Genomic DNA, 22,097 nt, shown 5'->3' with positions numbered 1-22,097 from the left:
AAAGCCACCAACTTCTTGTCTCATTACTTTATTATTTCTCATTTTTTAGTTGAAAAGCTTAAATAAACAAGTACCTACTCAAATATTAAAAACAAAGACTGGTTTTCAGACATTTTATACAGGTGATATGATGATTTCTGACCTGTGGCCCAGCACTACCAATTTAAAAATTTTGATTACTTTGTAAAAAATATTTGATATTCTTGAAATCGAGATTTATAGTATAATATTTTAGACTTAGTAATTAGGTTAAAAAATGACATTAGGGCATGTATACTAATGAATGTATATTTTAATTTTCCTAATTAAGTTTTTATTTTGATGGCAAAGTTCCAGAAAAAAACTTCTATTTTTTTTTTAAGGCAGTTGGTTTTATGCTACTTAACAGACTCAAACTTATGGTAGAAATTTCAATAAGAAAAAATATTTTAATGTATTTTGTTTTTATATAATTAATAGGTATATTAAGAAATGAGGTGAATAAATTACAAGGTTTATAATTATCCTTTATATACTTTAATGTACATTCATTATAAGTGTCACATGTAGGATGATTAATGTATCATTAGCTGAATAAAACATTACAGGTAGCTTTATTGAATTTATAGCATAGTCGGTGAATCTAATATTTGTTACTAGTCTGGTAAGTCCTCTGACCAGTTAGATTGTTAGGGGTGTAAACCTCCTGTCCATCTATTTACATTCTCTTCATGCAAGTTTTCAAGATCATTACTTTGCAAATACTCATCCATTTTAGTATATTTCATGATCCGGTATGCTGTATAGTCTGGATGCAACCACTGTGCAGATTTTACTGCTTAAAATAGTGTATCTGTTAGTCAGAGATTCTGCTGATAGAGCTTCTTAAGAGCCTTAGTCAAAATACTTTCAGGAAGCTTGTGGGTACAGTCCAGTAAACAGCGTTCTACTGTGAAAAAGATTTCTAAGTCTTTAGTACAAGAAGTGGGCAGACTTGTGTTTTTAGTTCCATCTTGACTATGCAGCACTTTAAGTAAGGTTAACCAAGGCACCAAGTGTACTTTTACAAGGTCACTGTTGAACCCTCTTGGTGGCTTTAATTCATACCAAAAGCAACTTACCTGTGTTTTGTCACCTCATTTATTTTATTTTTTCTCCTAGTTACATGTCATTTCTTACAGAGGAACAGGAATTTTGCAGCATTTTGTGTTTGGGATTAGATTTCTGACAATTTCCTTAATGTTCTTTATTGGTTAGAAATTTGTATTAGATATATTCTTGATTTAAACAAAATTATAATATTATTTGAATATTCTTATATAGCTTTATAGGTATGTCATCTTGAAAATATACTAGGAGAATTCATATGTTTATGCCTGCAAAAATGAAAATGAATATTGATTTGAATCATATCCTCATGGGATTTTGCTCCTCAAATAAGGAATCCACATTTTATTTTTAGTTTTATGTGTTAATAATCCTAAAATTAAAATGTGGAGTTAAAAATATATTTCTAGATATAAGAAGTAATATTAAAATATCATTTATTGAAACTAAAGATAGTCATTTTTTGTTAGCATTCTATATTAGTGGACTATCAGTAATTCATAGCTATTTTTATTTCTGAGTCACTGGAATTTGTATGTTAAAAAAAACAGGCAAACACTGATAACAGGGTTTATTTAGAAAGGCATGCATTTAAAAAGTATCCTCAACACATGACTATGAACCTCTTAGATGGGAGACAGTTGGATAGATAGATGATTTAGGGTCTTGATATGATTGTAGTCAGAATTTGAAAACATGTAATGAAGATCATGTTCCTAAAATTACAGTCAAAGTGTTCACAACACCTAATTCAGATAGGATCTGAATATCAGAACTTAAAAAAGCTTTATATTTCTTGATGTGAGGTTAAGCAATAAGGACCATTGGCTCTGAGAAAAATGGGATTAAACACCTTTTAGCACTTACTAAGTATTGCCTAAAATCTTACTCTGTAAAAGTTAGTATTGTTAAGCACTGTCTTTTGAAGTAATCAAATAACCCTAAAGAGTTGTGCAAGTAAAATGAATAGACTACTGCCTGCTTAGGGGTTTCTGAAACTAGTTTATATACTTCTTAGTGATGGCTAGCCCTTTCTCATCTGCTTCATTTGAGACAGCATTATAGAAGAATTCAGCCTTGAATCTCAAAAAATTTAGATTTTTGAGAAATTCGATTTGTACAAGTTTTTGGACAAATCTTAGTCTGTGACATTTTGGTTTTCATATTCATAGGGCTTTAAGAACATTTTAGTCATTAGTCTAAGTGTTGAAAGTGTGTGTCTGTGGTAATGATGGTGATAAAACATTAGCGCTCATTAATGCTAATGGAAGTTCCTCATGGAAATCCTCTGCGCAGTGGCAGATGGAACAACCTATGTTTAAATAATGGAAAGATTGTAATACAAACCCACCAAAATTTAGAAAACTGTGCTGGTTAATCAAATGTCTTTTTCTTTTCAGTTGCATAGTTAAATGGTATGACTAACTTTCTCTGATTTTAGTATTTTATGTTGGCTTATAAATTTATATCTTTATAATCTTTTTTTGAAATGAGATCATTTTTCAGTTTCTAATCTTTTATTTTCTTTTGATTTGCAAATCATTCAAAAAGTGCTAATTGAAACTGGAGAAAACTGCATAATTATATGAGGGGAATAGTTTAAAATGTTCAACTAAAAAGCATAGTTTGGCTTTTGTAAGCTTACTCATCAGTTGCATTGAGAAGGGAGAATAGCTTATCTCATAAATTTTTGTATCAACCAAATATTTTATAAAATGCACAAAAGGATTTTTAAAGATTGCCTTTTAGAATGCTTTTACAATGCTTGTATGGGGAAGATGATTAGTTACAGTATTTTGTGAAGGCTTGGAAGTATACATAGTTTGTTTAAATGGAAATACTTTGAACAGGTTTGAAAGCATTGTAATATTTAGTGATATACATGGTATGTATCCTACGTTTGTTCTGAATAGGGCTATCAAATGCGTTTCTATTTTGTGGGTTAAATTTGAAAACGTAATTTTTTGACTATGTTTGCCATATCCGATAGTAGCTGACAATCACATTATAAAAAGATTCATTAATTTGAGCTGAAATTATGGGTGCATTTTTGTAGTTTGCTATTATTCCATGAGTTTTAGAAGCCATAGAGTTTAGAACCTACGACAGAATTCATATGTATGATTGGATGGTTGAGTATATAAAGCTTCAGTTTTTATTTTTAAAGTATATTTCTTGCTCCATGGACATGTGCTTCATTCTGTTCTCTAAGAAAAACATTTTTCTAAGGCTTAAGTTTACAAATTAAAGCTTACTTTATTTTCTTTTGTTTTGAAGGTGATTGTAAATATGGTTCCATGGAAATGGAGTAAAAAGATAAAACTAGATTCCCCACTATAATTTCTTTTGACGTTGTTTTCGCAATTCCAAATATCATGTGAGCCTGCACATAAAGGCAAATTGGGCTCAGAGTTTCTTATTGTGACTTAGTATTCTGTGATACTGTGTCACTTGTTGTATTGTTACTTAATTTTTTTGGTATTCTTATTTTTATATTCATTTTTTATATTCTAGGAAACTTGAATGTTACCCTTCAAATTTGGGATATAGGAGGGCAGACAATAGGAGGCAAAATGTTGGATAAATATATCTATGGAGCACAGGTATGATATGAATTCTGATTATTCCAGTATTGAAAGTATACCACTTACAAGCACACATGCAAATCTACTCCCAAATGCACACACACACACATTCTTTCTAACTTTTTATCTGATACGTAGAGAGAATAATTTTATATTTGTGCTAGTTCTTTGGTTTCATGCTCTCCTAATTATGTTTGGAGTGATTTGGGTGAGGGAACAGGAAAACTCTGAACAGCTTTCGTATGTTATTTACATTACTAGGTGTTATTGTTAGCAGTTCAATAAATGCAGTGATAAATGATATTTTGATATGTATTAGCTGGTTTTGTTATAGTGACTGCTTTCAAATAAACTGAATGAAAAACACAGGGATGAAAATTTAACTTCATTTTAAGTTACAAGGACTGAAAGTATATCTATATGTCTATGTTTTTGTGCAATGAATATTGATAGCTTTTCAGATTTAATAGACATGTCTGTATTTTCTATCAGATAACTAAATATGACAGTGTATATGTGAAACACATACAATAATTTACTATGATAATGCTGTATTTTCAGAAGAAAATCCATGTAGAGCAAGAAAAATGAAAATGAAAAATGACCTGAATAATTACATAAATTTCGCAACATGAGCTTATATTCTCCATGAGCTTATACTGATATAATTTATAAGATTTTAAATAAAGTTATTATACAAATAGAAAATATGCAGGGTAGTAATATACTTTAAAAGTTAATCATTTCTCTCTGAGCATGTTCAGTGAAGAATTGTCTTTTTAATATTTGGCAGATTGCTTTTGATTAAATGACAGACTTTAGAAATGCAGTAATACCATTGAAAGTAATCATCTGATGAAGTAGAGAATATGGTATATAGCCGAATATTAAGTAGGTTGTGCTTACTGAGCTCTGTATGTAATACTTGATGTGCTATTTCTTTATTTTTGCTTTTTTTCTCTACTTTTAATTAGTGTGTATCTTCTACATCATCTGGAGACTTAGGGGTAATAGTAAAAATTTCTAGTTCTTTATTGGAGTTTGGTATTTTAAGTGAGACAAATACAACTTGGTTATGTGGAAACATGTTGCTCATAATAAATGATTCTATAGGATGGAGATATAGTATATTAAGCACTCTGCTGTACAAAGTTTGGTTCATGTCAAATACCGTTGCCTTGATTTTGGATGAAAAATAGATTCTGATTTATTTTGTAAAATATTCGGAGAAGGACAGTATGGCTATAGAGGCTAATATGGTTCTGAATCACTTATAAAGGCCCCAGAGTTTTGATTTTTTGCATTGCTGATGCAGAGATTTGGCTCTTAAAGCTCTTATCTTTTATACATTGTTCTTAGTCTCCTGCAAAATTTTTCTGTTCACATTTATAGCATTTTCTTCTGTGGTTAAGTGACTTGATATTTTATGCATGTTCATTTTTCTCTTAAAAAGTACATCTCAGAATTTTGTGTATGGCTTTTTTGTTTTATTTATTTATTTATTCATTTTCTGTTTTAAACTGATTAAAGTGGATACTAAGCTAGAGACAACTTGCTGGACAGAGATTTGTGGGAAGCCACAGTTCTTGTTTCATTCATGTGGTTGATAACATGGGAAAATAACACTCTTCTCTTTGTTCCATAAAATCTGTCTTCAAGGCTACATATATGATTTTAAGAAAATGAAGATTAGATCTAACTTCTAATGAAATTTGACTCTTGGTGTCAAATAGAATAGTCTTTTATGATTTATAGGTGTAACCAGAGTTAGTGGAGAACAGGAGGACTTTATGCATTTCAGGGTAAATAATAATATATAATTCAATTAATACATTTTTCTTCACTTAAAAATTAGGGGAGTATTATGCCCATGTGTTGAATTCTGTTAATTCTATCTTCAAGTCATTTAAAAATTTATTATCTAATTTATTTAAATTATTTAAAATTTATTACTATTATATAAAAATTAATATTGATGTGAAATTTGTGTATTATAAAGTTAACCATTCTGAAGTGTATAATCAGCTAGGCGCAGTGGCTCATGCCTGTAATCTCAGCTAACTGAGAGGCACAGGTGGGAGGATCACTTGAGCCCAGGATTTTGAGGTTGCAGTGAGCTATGATCACACTACTGCACTTCAGTCCAGATGGCAAGTGACACTCCATCTCTAAAAAACAAAATAAATAAAAAATAAAGTATATAATCGGTGTCATTTAGTACACTCACAATATTTTGTGACCATTTCCTTAAGTCAGTTTTTGACAGTATATATTTTATGTTATTACAAAGCTGCCTACAGTAAGCAGACATTAATGAGAACATTTGTAGAAATTTCAAGAATTTCCATCTTTTTTGAAAGTCCGTAAGTTTAGTAAAATGTCTTCATTATTTTTTAAGGTACTTTTTTTCTTGGGAGAAAGTGAATGTTATAGTTCTTAGAACTTGTATAAAGTTTCTGTCTTGAAGGTACATATCGACTTCTTTCTCTTTTGGTGGTGCATTTTATCGTTTACACTTAATGATTGCTATGACTCTTATAAGGATGTACTGTGTTTTTATTAAACAATAATTTAGTACAGTATTTCTGAGAAATTCATGGATCTTTCTATGAAATTGTCTGACAAAACTGGGAATTCTGAGATGATGAAATGAATTGTCAAAAATAGATGATAGGTCATGGTGGCAGGCACCTGTAGTCCCGGCTACTTGAGAGACTGATATGGGAGGATCACGTGAGTCCAGGAGTTTGGGGCTGGAGTGAGCTATGATCATGCCACTTTACTCCAGCCTGGGCGAAAGAGTGAGACTCAGTTTATAAAGAAGAAAAAAAAAGGATGATAATATAATAACTTTTTTCTGCTTTCCAGAGATTCCAAATAAATGCTATGTTAAGTACATAAAGTACATTGACCAGTGGTCTATTTTGTTAAACTATTTTTAAATTCTATATCCAGGCTAGAGAAGCTGTGACTCATTATTTACTACTATAAATTGGAGAAAATGTTACTTTTCAAAACCAGTGCTTTCAAAAACATCCTAATAGCATTTTAATAAGCTCAATATCTTTATATAATCATATAATTATTCTTCAAAGTAGATCTGTATTGCTTCTGGAGTTATAGATGCTTTATATTACCTATCTCATGAATACTTTGGATTTTGATATACTACAGGACAGAAATCTTCAGAGATGTTGAGACAAGCTTTTTCAGGATATCAGTTTAATGTGTTATTTAGGGTTTTGTTTTAGGTTCTCTAACTTCTGTATTGTGTATAGAAAGAATTATACATGTCTGGGTCATTAAACTAGTCAATCTGTTTCTTTAAAGCATTTCTTAACATCTGCGTAGAAGCTTATATGTAGGCTGGGAGTTAACTTGGATCCAAATAAAACTGATTATTTTACCCTCTTCAGTCCCTTTGCCCCCAGCAACATTAAATGTTAGCAATAGCCTGTTGAAAGTGTTGATGAAAACTAAATTGAATTGACACCCCAAAAAGAATTAGTGAGGTATTTTGACAAGAACTAGTTCTAAGAATTGAAATATGTCCCAGTTAAATTCCCAGATTTTAAATTAACTTAAAAATTTCTAGGAGTCTTTAGAAAGATGTTATAGGGGATTTTTCATAGTGGTTAGGAGCAAACACACAGTACATAGTGTTTAGTGCCCTGTAACCTGTGGCTAACAGAGGCTAATAACAAACCTCAGAGAAGGACTGGATGTTTCATTTTTGTAGCTCTTTCTGTCCTGGAATCTAAGTGGTTTGCAAACACTGACCCACTGAGCATAAACTCAATGAAGTGTAGTCACTTGTGAGGTAGAACATAACTACTATTGTGTGCCAGTGGCCCCACACAGATGAGCCTACTTTTTAAGTACCAATGAAAGGATTTGGTGCCTACATGACAGCTATGGAGAGAGTGCATCTCAAAACTGGACTCTCCAAGACCTTCTGCTCTCTTTTACTGTAAGTTTTTTAGTTGGATATTTGCCAACTTATAACTGATTATGTTTGTAGACTTTCTTTGTGTTAGTGTTTCTTACGGGTTATACTTATAAAGCAAGATCTATGTTGTTATGGCTATTATATAATCTGTATGATTTAATTCATTTCTATATGTAACTAAATAACTAAAGCAGATTATTTGTCTTGCGTATTAGAGAGAAAACAAATAACCTGCATTTTGGGAATGGGAGAACCTTTCATTTTTTGAGAAGGTTAAATAGTGTGTGTACTGTGTTTATTTAGTACGTGTTACACTGACGAACTATTATCTATGCAATGCTTTACAAGACTGTTACTTGGTAGGCACCAGTGTTTGTTCTTTCAAAACTTCTGTCAAGTCCAGGCCATTGGGTCATTCCTGTAATCCCAGTGCTTTAGAGGGCCAAGGTAGGCCAATTGCTTGAAGTTAGGAGCATGAGACCAGCCTCAGCAACATAGTGAGACCCTTTCTCTACAAAAAAATTTAAAAAATTAGCTGGGCACTGTGGTACATGCCTGTAGTCCTAGCTACTAGAGAGGCTGAGATGGGAGGATTATTTGAGTCCAGGAGTTTGAGGCTGCAGTGAGCCATGACTGCGTTCCAGCCTGGGGAACAGAGCAAGACCCCATCTCTTAAAAAAGAAAATTGCTGTCGATTATTACCTTGAAAATGGTATCCATTTGATTTACTCACTCATCATGCTTATTAGATATGGTAGTAAGTGAAATAGATGAAAACGAAGTACTATATAAACTAACATTATATAATACTTACTAAAAATCTTGAAGTTTACAAAATACTACGGATGGTAGTATTTTCTTGGAACTGAAGTTGGAGGAAGGCAGTTAAGGCATAAAATGAAGGAAACTATTGTTGAAGAGGGATTTATTAAACTTGAAATCTGATTTCCAAAGGTCATGTAAAAGATTTGGGAAGAAGAACAGCAGCTGGAACGTAAATTGAGAAGTGGAAGGAAAGGATGGTATGGGGATGAAGACATGAAGACATAGGAGAGAGATAAATGTCAGATATGTGGTTGATAACAAAAGTTATCTGGGACATGAGACATGGTGATGGATTTAGATGACCATAAGATTGCCAAGAAAATTAGATCCAGGAGTTCCCAAGTAGATTTCAAGATATATTCCATGTTTGAGGAAGTTTTACTTTCTTGTGGCTTGGAAGATTCCAGTAGTTTTCTGGAAGGGATCAGAAGAGTTCTGGGTTGATTGACGTGGTCAGAAACTTAGGGATTTGAGGGTGCTTGTATTATGGCTCCTGAAGAGGTGAGTACTTAGAGGTCTGGCTTTGAGGCTGGTGAGTAGAGGCCCTGAGAGTCAATAGTTTTGGTAATGTGTGTCTTTTAAAGATTTGGTCCATTTTATTTATATTGTCAAATTTGTGGTCACAAAGTTGTTTATATTATCTTTTTAATGTCTATGGGATCGGTAGTGAAAACCCATATTAATTACTGTTGTTAATATGTGTCTTCTCTCTCCCTCCCTTTGTTTTTGGTTAGCCTGACTAGAGGTTTGTCAATTTTATTGATCTTTTTTTTTTAAAAAAAAAACAGCTTTTGGCTTTGTTGATTTTCTCTGTTGTTTTCTTCTTTAATTTCAGTGATTTCTTCCCTAATTTTTAATTACTTTCTTCTACTCGCTTTTGACTGAAATTACTCTTCTTCCTCTAGTTTCCTACAGTGGAAGCTTAGATTATTGATTTTTTTGCTTTTCTAATATATGCATTCAATGCTAAACACTTTCCCTAAGCACTGCTTTTGCTGTATTCCACAAGTTTTGGTAGGTTGCATATGTTTTTTTTTTGGTTCAAACTATTTTAAAATTATTTTTGAGACTTCTTTGATGCTTGTGTTATTTAGAATATGTTGTTTAATCTTCACATACTTTGAGTTTTTAAAGCTATTTTACTGTTACTGATTTCTGGTTATAGTTTGAGAATGTGGTTTGTGTGATTTCTGTTTTTACAAACATATTAAGGTATATTTTATGGCCCAGAATGTAGTTTATCTTGGTGAATGTACCGTGAGAGCTAGGGAATAGTACGTATTCTAATGAATACCGTAGTCTATAAATGTCAATTAGATGAAGTTGATTGTTAGTGTTGTTCAGATCAACTGTACCCTTACTGATTTTCTGTTTGCTTAATGAAAAAAGTCTTCAACTCTAGGGGGATCTGCAGATTTGGAACTCCTTGCAGTTCTGTCAGTTTTGGCCTCATATATTTTGATGCCCTCTTATTAGGTGCATATATAGAGAGGATTGTTATGTCTTCTTGGAGGACTGACTTATTATGCCAGTCTTTAAACTTGTTAATTTTCCTTATTCTGAAGTCTGCTTTGTCTCAAATTATATAGCTACTCCAGCTTTCTTTTCATTAATGTTTTCATGCTATTTTTCTATCCCTTTACTATTAACCTGTTTGTGTCTTTATATGTAAGGTCAGTTTTCCGTAGGCAATATACAGTCAAGTCTTGTTTTCTCATCTCCTTTGACAATATGTCTTTTAATTTGTGTATTAAATTCACATACAAAGTGTTTATTGATATAGCTGGGTTAACATCTGTCATGTTTGTTTTCTATTCTTTGCACATGTTCTTTGTTTCTTATCCCCTCTTTTTCTGCTTTCTCTGGTTTTATTTGAGTATTTTCTCTCCTGTTTTAGCATATCAGTCATACTTCAGAATTTTTTTAGTGATTGTTCTAGAGTTTGCAATATACATTTTTAACTAAATTTAGTGTTTAAATGACACTGTATTGCTTCATGTGTAGTGCAAGTCCCTCAGAATATTCTCAGTTCATCCTTTTTGTCCCTTATGGCATGGCTGTCATTCATCTCACTTATCTATATGCTATAATCATCCAGTGCATTATTATTACTTTAAACAGTTGTATTTTATATCAATTAACAATAAGAAAAATAATTGATATTATGTTATCTTCATTTTTTCCTTTTCTGATACTCACTTTTTTTTCATCCTGTATGATTTTATTTAAAAAATGTTAAATTTTATTGTAAACTGGAAGTTTATAATCGGTTATATTTATGGAGTACAGAGTGATGTTATGATTTATCAATACAATGTGAAATAATTAATTCAAGCCAATTAGCATATTCATTATCTCAAGTACTTATAACTTTTTTATGTTGAGAACATTTGAAATTTAGTCTTTTAGCAATTTTGAAATGTATGATACATAATAATTATTAACTGTTTTAACCACACTGTGCAATAGTTCTCAAAAAAAAATCTTTATATCTCCTGAGATTTTGTACCCTTTGACTATTTCCCCATTTCCCCCAACCCCTAGTCTCTGCAACCACCAGTCTACTCCCTACTTCTGTGAGTTTGATTACTTCAGATTTCACATAAGTGAGAACATGCAACATTTGTCTTTTTGTGCCTGGCTCATTTCACTTAGCTTAATGTTTTCCAATTCCATTCATGCTGTTGCAAATGAGAGACTTTTCCTTTTTTTAGGTTTATGGTATTCCGTTATGCATATATACATCATTTTCTTTATCCATTCATCTGTTGATGGACACTTAGGTTTATTACATAGCTTGGCTATTGTGACAGTGCTGCAACAAACATGGGAGTGCAAAAACCTCTTTGACAAACTGATTTCAAATCTTTGGGTAAATACACAGAAGTAGGATTGCTGGATCATATTCTTAGTTTTTTTGAGGAACCTCCATACAGTTTCCCATAATGGCATTCTTATTTACATTTTCACTGAGAGTGTACAGAGGTCCCTTTTCTCTATATTCTCACTGATACTTGTTATCTTTCATCTTTTTGATAATAGCCATTCTGACAGGTATAAGAGGGTAATTTATTTTGCTTTTAATTTGCATTTCTCTGATGATGTTCAGCATTTAAAAAATATATCTGTTAGCCATTTGTCTTCTGAGTAATGTCTTTATGGGTCTCTTGCCAATTTTTAAATTTAGTTTTTTGTTTTGCTTTGGAGTTGTTTGAGTTCCTCGTATATTTTGGATGTTAACCCCTTATTGGATGTATGACTTGAAAATATTTTAATTTGTAGGTTGTCTCTGCACACTGTTAATTTTTTCCTCCTTTGCTGCACAGAAGCTTTTTAGTTTTCCTCTTTGCTTATTGCTTTTGTTGTCTGTGGTTTTGGAGTCAAATTCAAAAAATTATTGCCCAGACCAATATTTTGTAGTTTTCCTCCATACATTTTCTTGTAGTAATTTTGTAGTTTCTGTTCTTACTTTGAAATTGTTAATCAATTTCGAGTTGGTTTTTGTATATGTTGTGAGATAAGGGTCCAATTTTGTTCTGCATGTGGATATCTAGTTTTCCCAAAACCATTTATTGAAGAGGCTATCCTTTTTCCATTGTGTATTTCTGGCTCTGTTGTTGAAAAATCAATTGACTGTACATGTATGGCTCATTTCTGGACTCTCTAATTATGTTCTGTTGGTTAATGTGTCTATTTTTTGCCGGTACCATGCTGTTGTAATTACTATAGCTTTGTAGTATAGTTTCAAATCAAGTAGTATGATGCCTGCAGCTGTGTGTGTGTGTGTGTGTGTGTGTGTGTGTGTGTTCATGATTGCCTTGGTTATTTGAGCTTTTTCATGGTACTCATTTTTTTCCTATGTAGAGTTTAGTTTCTGACCCATATCATTTTCCTTCTCCCTGAATAACCTCTTTTAATATTTCCTTCAGAGCAGGTTTGCTGACAATGAATGCTCTCAACTTTTGTTTTTCTGAGAAGATCTTTATTTCTCCTTTACTTTTGATAATTTTTATGGGTATAGAATTCTAGGTAGTTTTTTTTTTAAATTTTCTGTCAGTACTTTAAAATTTCACTTTGTTCTCTTCTTATTTGCATGGTTTCTGATGAGCTATTCTCTGTAATTTTTATGCTTTTTCATTTATAGATAGGATATTTTCCCTATTCTTCTAGCTTCTTTCAAGATTTCTCTGTTTTTTTTTTCTTTTGAGCAATTTGAATATATGCCTAGGTATAGAGTTTTTGGTATTTATCCAAATTGGTGTTCTCTGAGATTCTTAAATATGTGGTTTGGTGTCTAATTAATTTTGGCAGTTTCTTAGTGACTGTTACTTCAAATACTTCCTAAACTTGATTCTCTCTTCTTCTGATATTTCAGCTGTGCGTATGATGTACCTACTTGGGACTGTCCCACTGTTCTTTAATGTTCTGTTTTATTCGTTGTTTTTTTCTTTTTGCATTTCAGTTGTAGAAGTTTCTATTATCCTGTCTTTAAGCTCAGTGAGTTTTTTTCCTATGCCGTGTCCAGCAATGTACCCAACAATGGCATTCTTTATTTCTGTTATAGTGTTTTTGATATCTAGCATTTTGTTTTTATTATCCCTTGTTTTATTATCCCTATCTGTGCTTGCATGTTGTTTTCTTTTTCCTTTAGAACCCTCAACATATTAGTCATAGTTACTTAAAATTGCCTGTCTAGTAATTACAAAATCTGTTTCATATCTGAGTCTTGTTCTGATGCTTGCTTTCTTTCTTCAAATTACCTTTTGAAATTCCTTGTAATTTTGTATTGAAAGCTGGACATGATATACTGAGTAATAAGATTCAGGTAAATAGAATTTTAGTGTGAGGCTTTACACTGTGCTGCATTTAGTGTTTACTTTAGCTGTGGGTGCCAGAGGCATTGATTCCTCTAGCATCCTTGTTTTTGCCTCACAGTCTTTTTTGGTGTCTCCAAGAACTCTTTAGGTGAAATCTGTCTTGCAGCTCTTTCAGATGTTGGTGCCCTGGTAGTGTTGTGGTAAAGTATGGGGGAGGAGAAGCATACTATATTCTTATGATAAAGTTTTAGTCTTTAGTGGGCTTGTATTTCGGGACTGTGACCTTCACTAGTGTTTCTTTGCTCCTCCCAGTTAGATGAGACAGACCGGCTACAGGGGGCTGGAGTTGGGAACTTCCCTTTCCAGATGGAATACAATGTTCTGATTAAGCCATTTATTCTGCAGAGTATGCCTTTTTTATGGATAATGCTCTGGGCATATTTCACAATGGTTACTTTTTTCCTCTCTTCATGCCAGAGCCTTGAGAGGATCTTTCTTGGCTCTTTACTGATAATCTGGTGGGATATCTGGAATCTGGTGGTATATCCATGCAAGTGTGGAGGTAGCCCCTAAGACTGAGGGGGCCCCTAGGAGTTCCTCACTCTTAAGCTAAACCTCAGTCAGCCTCCAGCAGTTCGTCAAAATTATCATTACTGTTACTAGTGGCTGCTACTCCAGGTAGGCAGATCTTGGCTGTAACTTTTTGGATTTGTTTGTCTCTCCAGATTTCAGGGTGATGATTTGCCTTGCAATATCAGTTTTCTGATCAGTCCAAGAAAAGTCACTGATTTTTCAGTTTGTTCTGCCTTTTTCTTATTGTAAGGTCAGGAGTGATGACTTTCATGGTTTTTTTTTACATGTCAGAGCTGAAAGTGAAGGTCCTATAATTCCTTTTATATTTTAATATTTTTAGTTTTCTCACTTTTTCGTCTCAGAATTTCACCACAGTGGTACTAATTATGATGGCAAGAACAAGGAAAAATAATAGTTTTTACATTATAAATGGTACTGATAATATGAACAGGGAGATGTTTGTGTTGCTAGATAGCTAGGTGAGTGAACAGGAGTTTATCCTTCTATATTTTTTTGTGAATCCTGGAAGATTTCTAGGAATCACCAACTGAAAAATGTTGGGACACATTTGTCTAGACCAGAGATTGGCAGATTTTTCCTGAAAAGAGCTAGATAGTAAATATTTTATGCTTTGCAGGCCATGTTGTCTCTGTTGTAGCCACTCAGCTCTGCAGTTGTAGCACAAAAGCAGCCATTGATAATACTTAAACAAATGATTGTGACTATATTTCAGTAAAAGTTTATCTACAGATACACAGTGTGGGCCAGATTTGACCCATGGGCCATAGTTTACCAATTTGTGGTCTAGAACAACAGTTTTTAATGTTTGTTCCATATCTCTCATCCTGTACTGATTATCAGTAGATGGTGGCCATGTTTTATTTGCATATATTTTACCATATTCAGGTGTTGTCCCATGTTGGGATAAAGGTTTTCATATATTAATCAGAAGGGTTCAAAAAGTCTTAAGAGGCATAGGCCTAGGCTTTATTTGTGAGTTTAAAACCTACCTCAAAGTTGCCATGAAAATGTGATTCTTGTTCACTTAGTATGATAACAAGAAAAATCTACAATTGCATGTGGTATGTTAATTTTAAAATAAGTACTTTTGTTATTTCACTTTATAATGTAGGCATATCAGGTATTTTAAAAGTGAGGTAACGAATGTTGCCCAAGATCAATAGATGGGGTCAGGACTGGAATCCAACAGCAACCTGAGTTCCAGCGTAGAGCTCTTTTCAACAAATAATATATCACCCATGGCAGTTGGAGGTGGGGCCAGTAGCTTGAAGATTAATCTTCTTCAGATATCAGTTCTGGGGCTTTATTCTTAATAAGAAAGTGAGATACTCTTTGTTTTAGATAATTCTGTGTTGGGCATTATTTCAAAGCGTCTTGGAAGACAGACAGATGTTCAAGTGACCAAAATGAACCAGACGAGTGATTTTGTATATTATAGAATATTTAAAGCGAAAGGGATCTTAGAGACCATCTAACTCAAATATCGAATTTTAGAGATAAGAAACCTGAGACCTGGAGAAGCTAGGTAACTTGGGGACCAATATGGTTTAATAAACGAGAATAATAATCCTGGAAGGTCATAACAGAAGTATGCTAGGGCTGGCTTGCTCTAGCTTCAGAGAGTTAATTGTTAAATTTTTAGCAGTTTTTGTGAGCCAGTTATTAAAAACTTTTACAATGAAAAATTATGTATAAAGTCACACATTATATTAAAACAAAGGTATTATATGCCTAATCTCTATCACTAATTATTTTACTATGTATTTCTGTTATCTGTGTTCTCAAGGTTGTTTACATCTGCTGTATCTATATGGTGGAAATGTTTTATAATGGTGACCTCCCCAACTCTGTTCAGTGGTATCACATTGATAGCTTAAAAATGACCGCAGGCTAGCATTTACACCATGAAAATTGGCAAAGATTACGGCAAACTGTCACCCCTGCTGGGCCCTGAACCCCAAGCCAATTGATTAATATTTACCAGTGTCTCACTAGTTATGACTACTGTGTTCTATACTTGTTTGTGTGTTTAGTTTTGCTGCAAGACTGTGAGTTCCTTATGGTTTGGAACTTAAATCCGTAGGAATCCAGCACAATGCTTGGAGTTTAGTTGACAGACAAATGTTTTTAATTATTTAGTCTTTGGTTCAAATACTGGCTCCATCACTTACCTATCAGTATGACCTTGGTTATTTTAACCTCTGTTTATTGTTTAAAATGGGAATAATAATACCAGCCTTTCATGATTGGTGTGAGGATTAATGAGGAGACCTTGACGTGTGTCTGGTATACAATAGGTGCACAAAAGTAGTTGATTACTACTGTTACAACCTAAGAAGTCGACATAAATGCCATTAGGGTCCGGGCTTATACTGTATGTAGAGCTTTGTATTAAGTGTTTGACCACAAACTGGATGAGAATCAAGAATGTGGTAGTTATTTCTGTGTGCATATATACTTCTCCTTCCCACACAAAATAATGAGATAAATTAAAAGGAATATGATATATAAGAGGCAGGAAGCAATCCTTCTGTTGTATTTGGCATTGCTGAGACTCTTAGTACAGTATTACGTCCAGTTTTACATTGCTTATTTTAAAGAGGATGTCAAAAAACTATATGTAGTGTGTCCTGGGAAGAATCAACAACTATGATTAAAGGGATAGAAAAATAGGCCCTTCGAGGCAAGTTTAAGGAACTGAGTTTGTTTACTCTGGAAAGGAGATGGTAAAGGAGTTACTTAACTCTGCTCAAGTATATGAAGGGTTAGTTTAAGAAAGATACTCTCAAGTTCTCCAAATGCACAGTGGACTAAAAGAGGAAATCGACATTTCATTTAAAGAAAATTGTGTTAAACACTTAAATTGTCTATCAAGGGATATCATGGAATCTCTGTTTTTGAAAATATTTAAAAAGAGTAGCAGCAGATGATTATTTATTGAAAGGTTTAAATGCTTGACCTCATGAAAGTGAGAGGTAGGATTGTAGATGTTGTAGCCTTTTCTACTTCTTTGATATGATTTTCTTATATTTACTGTAACTTACCAAGCATATTCCAGATATCTTATTGGAAGACCACTTACAATTTTGATAACATTATGTTTTAGCTTGCATTGCATCTTAGTTGCTGGATTTATCTTGAATGAAAACATTCAGTATTATCAATCTGCTAGTAAGCAATTTAAATGGAAGTTTATATATAAAACACTACACATTTGTATTTTTATACCCATTTTGACATATCTGAAGCATTACGCAAGTATTCATTAAGATTTTTTCACCAAATAATACATTACAGATATTTTGTAACTCTTTTGTGACAGGGAGTCCTCTTGGTATATGATATTACAAATTATCAAAGCTTTGAGAATTTAGAAGATTGGTATACTGTGGTGAAGAAAGTGAGCGAGGAGTCAGAAACTCAGCCACTGGTTGCCTTGGTAGGCAATAAAAGTAAGTTATTACTGCTTGTTTATGTATGGTACAGTTTACTTGCTGTTGTGGACAGAATGTTTGTGTCCCCCCACCACCCCCAATTTATATGTCAAAGACCTAATCCCCAAAATGATGGTGTCTGGAGGTGGGGTTTTGGGAGGTAATTAGGTCATGAGAGTGGAGCCCTTAAGAATGACATCTGGCAGGGCGCAGTGGCTAATGCTTGTAGTCCCAGCACTTTGGGAGGCCAAGGCAGGGGGATTGCTTGAGGCCAGGAGTTTCGGACAAACCTGGCCAACATAGTGAGACCCTTGTCTCTATTTAATTAAAAAAGAGAATGGGATTAATGCCTTCATAAGAGACATGAGAGAGATAATTCTCTCTGCCATGTGAGGATAGGCAAGAAGGTGGCTGTCTGCGAACCAGGAAGAATGCCCTCACTGGATACTGAATCCGTCAGTACCTTGATCTTGGACTTTACTTACCGAAGTTTGAGAAATAATGTTTGTGGTTTAGGCCATAGTCTATGCCATTTGTTATGGCAGCCCAAACAGAGGACTTATTGAGACATTTGCCTATCCTGTAGTTTTAATTCCTACAAAGAAATATTTGATATTTGGAAACAGCTTTTCTGGAGTGAGCAAATTATTTGAGTAGAAAATTCCTAAGAGTGTGTACAATCTTTTCAATAACTGTTTTGATGCGTGGTCTATTATAACTGCTCCGCTGCTTTGGTCAATTCCTGTGAAGGTAAGTTTAGTTCTGACAGTGTGTGTTTTGGCTTCCTGTGGTCTAGGAAAGCAGCATGGATTATGAAGAACAGCAACACAGCTGCAGATTTTATGATATTGCATTGCAGTTTCAGCTCTGTCCCAGAGGTTTTGAGCGATGCATTTCATTGAATGATCTCCTATTTTAGGGAAGAAAGAAGTGTCTACATTGGAATTTTATATGCATTGTTTCTTGCTCCTGTCTCTTATAAACTTCCTCTTCTAAATTTTTGTTTTTTTTCTGAAATATAATTTTTTTTTTTTGAGAAAGAGTGTACTAGGGAGAAGAGTGGTTCTTGGTAAAAATTATGGGTTTGTTAGTAATTTTGAGACCTGTCTCAAATGATAGATAGCAGAGAAAAATTATAAAACTGAACTCAGTACATGACTGGTTTTTGGTTCCTAGTTCTGCAATGCAGTGACTTAGAAAAAGAGACATTAATAAAGGTTTTCAAATATAGTCATGTGTTGTTTAACAACAGGATATGTTCTAAGAAGTGTATTGTTAGGCAGTTTCATTGTGTGAACGTTATAGAGTATATATTAGGGTTCTGTAGAGGGGCAGAACTAATAGGATAGATGTATATATGAAAGGGAGTTTATTAAGGAGAATTGACTCACATGATCACAAGGTAAAGTCCCACGATAGGCCATCTGCAAGTTGAAGTGCAAGGAAACCAGTAGTGGATCAGTCCGAGTCCCAAAACCTCAAAAGTAGGGAAGCCAACAGTGCAGCCTTCAGTCTGTGGCTGAAGACCTGAGAGCCGCTGGCAAACCACCAGTGTAAGTCCAACAGTCCAAAAGCCACAGAACTTGGAGTTTCATGTTCGAGGGCAGGAAGCATCCAGCACAGGAAAAAGATGGAGGCCGGAAGACTCAGCAAATCTGCTTTATTCTAGCCATACTGGCAGTTGATTAGAGAGTGCCCACCCAGATTGAGGGTGAGTCTGCCTCTCCCAGTCCACTGACTCAAATGTTAATCTCCTTTGGCAACACCCTCACTGACACATGCAGGAACAATACTTTGCATCCTTCACGCCAATCAAGTTGACACTTAATATTTACCATCACATAGAGTGTATTTACACAAACCTATATGGTATGGCCAACTACACACCTAAGCTATATGGCACAGCCTATTGCTCCTAGGCTACAAACTTGTATAGCATGTTCCCATACTGTAGGCAGTTATAACACAATGGTGAGTATTTATCTGTCTAAGCATAGAAAAGGTACAGTAAAAATACGGTATAAAAGCTCCATTATAATCTTATGGGACCACCATCATATATGTAGCCCGTTGTTGATAGAAACATTGTTATGCAACACATGAATGTATGTGAAATATTATATGATTCGTTGTTTTCTAACTTATTTGAGGTCAGAAAAAGAGAAAATGATTTCAGATTTTACCATGGAAGATTTAGGTCAGGTATTATTTCCTGACAACAAGAGTTGTTAAATCAATACCTACATACATTACCAAGAGAATTATCTTTTCCAAAGGTCTTTAAAAATGTAGTACATTTTTTTTTCTCTGTAATTGTTTAGGAAGCAGTGCTTCCTGAAAGACCAAACCAAGATTTTTGCATTATGTGGCTTTGCACACTAGATGAGTATTTAATAAGTTCAAGCTTAATTTAAAACCATGATGACACAGGTGTGAATGTCATTTCTCTGAGGAGTTAAAAATACAGGCATTGTCATACTATCATACACTCTGGAAAATGGTATTACATATCATAAAATGTTATGGCTTGGGTAGAAATTGTAGTTTGCTTTTTTAAAAGCTTTAGTTAAATTTTGCTCATTTGTTTTGCAAATGATTCTTTTTAATTGAGTGAATCAGATGCTTTTCAGTTCATTGAAAATCCCCCTTTGACAAATCATGTTTTGATGAGCTTACGTTCTGTTTCTGGGTTCAGCTTCTCATTTTAGTTGTCATACAAAGCGTTGGCTTATATTATGGTTAAGTATGTGCTTTATTGGAGGTTTTGCATTACCTTATGAGAAATTATAGAGTGTTTGTGGGAGAGGCGTTATGATTTGTTTTAATTTTTTTCAGGATATAATCTAACTACCACTAGGGATAATGTGTAGTGGTACATAATTATATACATTATGTTATATGTATGCTATCCTGTGAGGCATCCATCATTGGTCACTGTCAAAGACAGGCTGTTAGAGTAGATGGGCTATTGGACTGGACTGGTGGTGGCATGCCCATGTTTTAAAAACAAATATTTGTACAAGTTATTTGAATTTATGCAAGAAATTAATACAGTGTTATGTTGGAGATTTAATAGCATAAAAGACAAGAGGTTTTTTTTTTTCTTTTTTCTTTTTTTACTTTTGGCATAGCTATAACCCCTTTGTATGTATTTATAATACACTCTTTCAGTATGAGATTATATATTAGTGTATGCAGTCACACAGAATGTTATATATGTAAGATAAAGAGATTATAGATAAATATTTTCCTGAATATTATTTACTACATAATCTGTCACTGGCCCAATTTCATGTGATCATGTAATGAAAGATCCTTCTGCAGTTAAGCCTATTAGGGCTTTAACCCTAAGTCTCCTGAATATATTTTAATTTCTATTTCCAAATTAATGTTATATTGGTATGGTATAATAGTATGTACTTATTTTCTTTTGGGAGGGATATAATTATATTAAAAGGCAATACAATTAACAAAGATTTTTCACACTGGTTAAAGGCAAAGCAAGAGATGTGATGGAAAGACATGTGAAGCTGGGTTATTATACTCATTACATAAACATAGTGATCTTCTTCCTAAATGTGGTTTTAAAATTTATCCTTGTGTCCCTTTCTTTACAACTTAGATAGAATGCATATGTTGAAAAGAAATGTGTAGGCTGTGGAAATACTGGTAGCAGTAGCCAGCTTTTAGTTAAAGTTAGTAGAAGGAGGGAGAGAAAAAGAGAGGGTGAATACACATTTCCGTACAAGTTACAGGATTATTTGCTTTTTATTAAAATATATTAAACCTTCAGAAATTTGGGCTGAGGATAGAGGATATTCTGATTATGGACTTATTTTTATTAAAAGTTAAATTTTATGGTTAACTATCCAGAGTAACTAGAGTAGGTTAATGAAATGGCAAATAGAGGAAGAGATTTCTTTTAATGAAATGAAAGAATGGCAACTAGTACGTTAACTATTTCAGTATATAATTCTTAAAAATGTACAGTTATTAAAATGAATTATTCCGTGTTCTATTTTTAAAGGCTATCAGATGCTAATTAGTGTTATTTTGTTTTACTATTTAAGTATTAAATGAAATAATGAGGTCATAGAGCTTTGGATTTAGACAGACTGCTTACAAGCCCAATTTCTTCATTCAAGAGCAGTGTGACATCATACAAGTTACTTTACGTTTTTATGCCTCAGTTTCCTGCATCTGGAAATCAGGGTAATAGTTTATGTTGGATAAAGCTGATTTAAAGATTAAATGAGATATTGTGTGAAAAGCACTGTGCTTGTGGTCTTTTGCATAGTAAGTGCCCAGTAACTATGAATTAGTTTATTAACCATAATGGCCTTCTAAAAGTACTGAGCATAGATAGCTTCAACTTGATTTATCACAAATTGCAAATTAGTAGAGCTAAAATTCATGTTCTGTGAAACTTTCCTGGAGAAAATGTTTATTAGAGAATTTCCTTATTACCATCTTATTTCTGTTCTCCCCTACCCCACCCCACCAGAGATTGATAGTTCTTATATTATGTGTTGGGTAGGGCCATTCTTTCACTGAACATTTTTGAGAATCTGTTATGTGTATTAAGCTAGCCATTGTAAATTTGCTGAAAGGTTGAGACAAAGAGAGTCTTTAAGGAGTGATGGGAACCTGCCAACCTAGATCTTAATCTTATTCTCTGCCATCTTCAAATTAAAAAAAAATTTCTTTGTTTTGCTGTGTCTGGTTGTTGAGATTAATAAATACACTTATGGACTTTAGCAAGATGGCTTTAGCAAGATGAGTGAATAGAGACATCTGGCACTTGGTG

General features: G+C 33.5%; 1 protein-coding gene across 3 annotated transcripts in view; it reads left to right on the top strand.

Annotated features, from left to right (window-relative positions):
- The window catches only part of RAB28 (RAB28, member RAS oncogene family), a 116,617-nt gene that overhangs the window by 6,334 nt on the left and 88,186 nt on the right, over positions 1-22,097 (top strand). For all 3 annotated transcript variants that reach the window (NM_001017979.3, NM_004249.4, NM_001159601.2), the window contains exons 3-4: positions 3,601-3,689; positions 17,179-17,308. In NM_001017979.3, coding sequence (NP_001017979.1) covers positions 3,601-3,689; positions 17,179-17,308 — 219 coding nt within the window. The remainder of the gene's footprint in view (positions 1-3,600; positions 3,690-17,178; positions 17,309-22,097) is intronic.

Source organism: Homo sapiens, chromosome 4, assembly GCF_000001405.40.
Source record: "Homo sapiens chromosome 4, GRCh38.p14 Primary Assembly".
NCBI classification, from domain to species: Eukaryota; Metazoa; Chordata; class Mammalia; order Primates; family Hominidae; genus Homo; species Homo sapiens.
The sequence above is the reverse complement of the archived record's forward strand: the minus strand, read 5'-3'. Positions and strand labels throughout refer to the sequence as shown.